Source organism: Homo sapiens, chromosome 4, assembly GCF_000001405.40.
Source record: "Homo sapiens chromosome 4, GRCh38.p14 Primary Assembly".
NCBI classification, from domain to species: Eukaryota; Metazoa; Chordata; class Mammalia; order Primates; family Hominidae; genus Homo; species Homo sapiens.
Window position 1 is genome coordinate 135,043,272 of NC_000004.12, and position 4,018 is coordinate 135,047,289.

Below are 4,018 nucleotides of genomic sequence, written 5' to 3' on the forward strand. Positions count from 1 at the left end.
TGACCCATCACATGAGGTCAGGTGTGAAGTTTTACACTTCTGGCATTATGTCAGTACTCAAAAAGTTTCAGATTTTTGAGCATTTCAGATTTTAGTTTTCCTATGAGGAATGCTCAATCTGTATCTCAAAAATAAACTCAATCCACTTTGTATCTGAATATTAAAAAAATTTAATTGCTGTATCTAATCACCATGATATATGAGGTGATTAAGATAAAAGAACAAATTTATATATTTATATTAAAAATTTTTGTTAAATAGGGCTATCTATGGAAAGCTACATAATAGGAGAACAAAAATGCCAAAACTATCTAGAAAAGTTAAAGCAAACTTCACAGCCAAGAAAATATGTGAGTACCATATAAAGAATGAGAAAACATTCTTGAGGGAAAAAAGATAAGAAAAGTGAGACATTCTTTTATCAAATCTAGATGACACTACAGAATAGGACTTCAAAGTGTTATAACTTATTTTCAATCTTCCAATTTGAAGTTTTGACACTGACTAGTCTCAGATTTGAATCTATCCTCTCTAACTCTATAGAGTCCATGCTCTCAATCTCAAAATAAATGAAGTTACACAAAATAAAGCCTTATCCTTGAGCAAATACTGGATTTTTCAATATAAATATGTACTCTTCATGTCTGAGTTTTCCACAGCATTTTACACATTGTCTTGCTCAAGAGATGCTGAATATTTGATACGTGGTTTGAAATTTTATATAACTAGTATAATTAGGCACCATAATAGACCAGTCCAATTTTATACAGTTTAAATCAGTTATTACTTACTCTCGTAAACTGTTGTTTTCTCAAATTGAAAGTGCTATCTCTATCTACATATTTGATGAAGGAAACTTTTCTACTAACATTTTGACTGAAGTTTGCAGTACACTTAAACAGAATTAGTGCAAATAATTACAGCCTCATTGTGGCTAAAAAAAGGAACTAATAAAATCAATTTTAACATTCATCAGATTTGTGTCTGAAAATTTGATTTTCAATAATTAGACATATTGATGTTTCTAAATAATATTCAATATCATATTTTTCTAAAATTTGACTCTCTTCAAATTGACCATATTTTCTTATCTTAATACAATTAAATTGAGAATAGATAGAAGTGTTGGAATTTATAAGTATTGTGTTTCTAAACCAACATAGCTAAACAAATACTCAATTAAAGTAACTACCCAACTACTGATTTTCTGAAGGAAAAACTTGCCGATGTTTATCAAATCAAGATTAATAAATTTGTGTCAATCTCAGTTGTCAATAAGTATGTGAACATCGATAATAGCAGATTAGGTCAGTTTCATTATGTTTATAATCTTTGTTTTATGTCTCTTAATTAGAACTACTAATCAGTTTAATGGTTGTGGTAATTCTTGTTATTTTGATAAGAAAACTTAAAGACTGTAAGATTCTTTACTTTTTATTTTAACTAGTTATAGGTCTATTTTCCTGGCCACTGTTACCTACTTAGCACTGTTGCTTCCAGAGCTAACTAAATTGCATAACCCTCAGGAGTGTGCTTTATTTTTGCTTATTCTTTCACCCTGAAAAAATGACTTTAAAGATTTGAATGATAATATGACCTCTCAAGTCCATAGATATATCCCATGGTGATAACAAGGAGAGATTGTTTTCTTACACCAGTCTCTTTTTCAAAAGGAAACTTGAGCTTTGATTTCTTTGGGCCCTGTTGCTGTTTATATTCAGAGACACAATGTCATAGATCTACAGTGTTGCAATTTAAAAATTCCCCTGTGGCTGTAAACCAGGAGTAAAAATCCATAGCTAGCCAATCATATTGCATATATTTTAGACATGGAAGACATAAAATCATCTCTTTATATTGAGTTATTCTCAATTTATTGCATACACAATGTACCCTTGCAGTATTGAACATAGACAGCTTACATTTAATTTGATTTAAAGAAGAGAATTGCATTCCATACTCATCAAGTCATCCTGCAGGTCTTTGAAGAAGTACTAAATTTTGAAGTGCATAACTAGTGAGGCAATTTTAATCCTAACCAAGCATGGCATGAAATAAACATGCAAATGGCAAACAGAAAGCTGTTAATTTGTGTGAGAAGTTAAAGTTAAAAAAAAACAAGTTGATAGTTTTTTCACAATGGGTTTGCTGCCAGAACACAGGCATCATGAAAACTACACCTAAAAGCCAAAATGGGAAAGGAAAAAACTCATATCAACATTGTCGTCATTGGACATGTCGATTCAGGCAGGTCCACCACTACTGGCCATCTGATCTACAAATGTAGTGGCATCGACAAAAGAACCATTGAAAAATTTGAGAAGGAGGCTGCTGAGATGGGAAAGGGCTCCTTCAAGTATGCCTGGGTCTTGGGTAAACTGAAAGCTGAGCGTGAACGTAGTATCACCACTGATATCTCCTTGTAGAAATTTGAAACCAGCAAGTACTACTTGGCTATCATTGATACCCCACGACACAGAGACTTCATCAAAAACCTGATTACAGGGATATCTCAGGCTGACTGTAATGTCCTGAATGTTGCTGCTGGTGTTGGTGAATTTGAAGCTGGTAACTTCAAAAATGGGCAGACCCGAGAGCATGCCCTTCTGGTTTACACACTGGGTGTGAACAACTAATCATTTGTGTTAACAAAATGGATTCCACTGAGCCACCTTACAGCCAGAAGAGATATCAGGGAATCATTAAGGAAGTCAGCACTTACATTAAGAAATCGGCTACAACCCTGACACAGTAGCGTTTGTGCCAATTTCTGGTTGGAATGTTGACAACATGCTGGAGCCAAGTGCTAACATGCCTTGGTTCAAGGGATGGAAAGTCACCTGTAAGGATGGCAATACCAGTGGAACCACGCTGCTTGAGGCTCTGGACTGCATCCTATCACTAATTTGTCCAACTGAGAAGCCCATGTGCCTGACTCTTCAGGATGTCTACAAAATTGGTGGTATTGGTGCTGTTCCTGCAGGTCGAGTGGAGACTGATGTTTTCAAACCTACTATGGTGGCCACCTTTGCTCCAGTCAACAATACAACTGAAGTAAAATCTGTCGAAATGCACCATGAAGCTTTGAGTGAAGCTCTTCCTGGGGACAATGTGGGCTTCGATGTCAAGAATGTGTCTGTCAAGGAGGTTCATCATGGCAATGTTGCTGGTGACAGCAAAAATGACCCATCAATGGAAGCAGCTGACTTCACTGCTCAAGTGATTATCCTGAACCATTCAGGCCAAATCAGCGCTGGCTATGCCTCTGTACTGGATTGCCACATGGCTCACATTGCTTGCCAGTTTGCTGAGCTGAAGGAAAAGATTGATTGCCGTTCTGGTAAAAAGCTGGAAGATGGCCCTAAATTCTTGAAGTCTGGTGATGCTGCCATCATTGATATGGTTCCTGGCAAGCCTATGTGTGTTGAGAGCTTCTCAGACTATCCACCTCTGCATTGCTTTGCTGTTCATGATATGAGACAGACAGTTGTCCTGGGTGTCATCAAAGCAGTGGACAAGAAGGCTGCTGGAGCAGGCAAGGCCACCAAGTCTGCTTAGAAAGCTCAGAAGGCCAAATGAATATTATCCCTAATACCTGCCGCCTAGTCTTAATCAATGGTGGAAGAACAGTCTCAGAAGTGTGTGTTTCAATTGGCCACTTAAGTTTAGTAGTAAAAGACTGGTTAATGATAACAATGCATCATAAAAACCTTCAGAAGGAAAGGAGAATGTTTTGTGGACCACTTTGATTTTCTGTTTTGTGTGTGGCAGTTTTAAGTTATTAGTTTTTTAAATTAGCACTTTTTAGTGGAAACAACTTGACCAAAATTTTGTGACAGAATTTTGAGACCCATTAAAAAAGTTTAATGAGAAAAACAAACAAACAAACAAACAAAACCAAGATGATAAAAGCAGTTAGTTTGTGCTACTACAGAATGGAATCCACAATTCACATCCTGAGGGAGTGACAAACCAATCATTTAATGCTGTGTCAACACATGTATCTTGTCTTTCATTA

The 4,018-nt window shown here is 36.1% G+C and overlaps 1 pseudogene; it reads left to right on the forward strand.

Moving 5' to 3' along the window:
- Nucleotides 2,131–3,776, forward strand: EEF1A1P35 (eukaryotic translation elongation factor 1 alpha 1 pseudogene 35; annotated as a pseudogene).
- The last annotated feature ends 242 nt before the right edge of the window (nucleotides 3,777–4,018 follow it).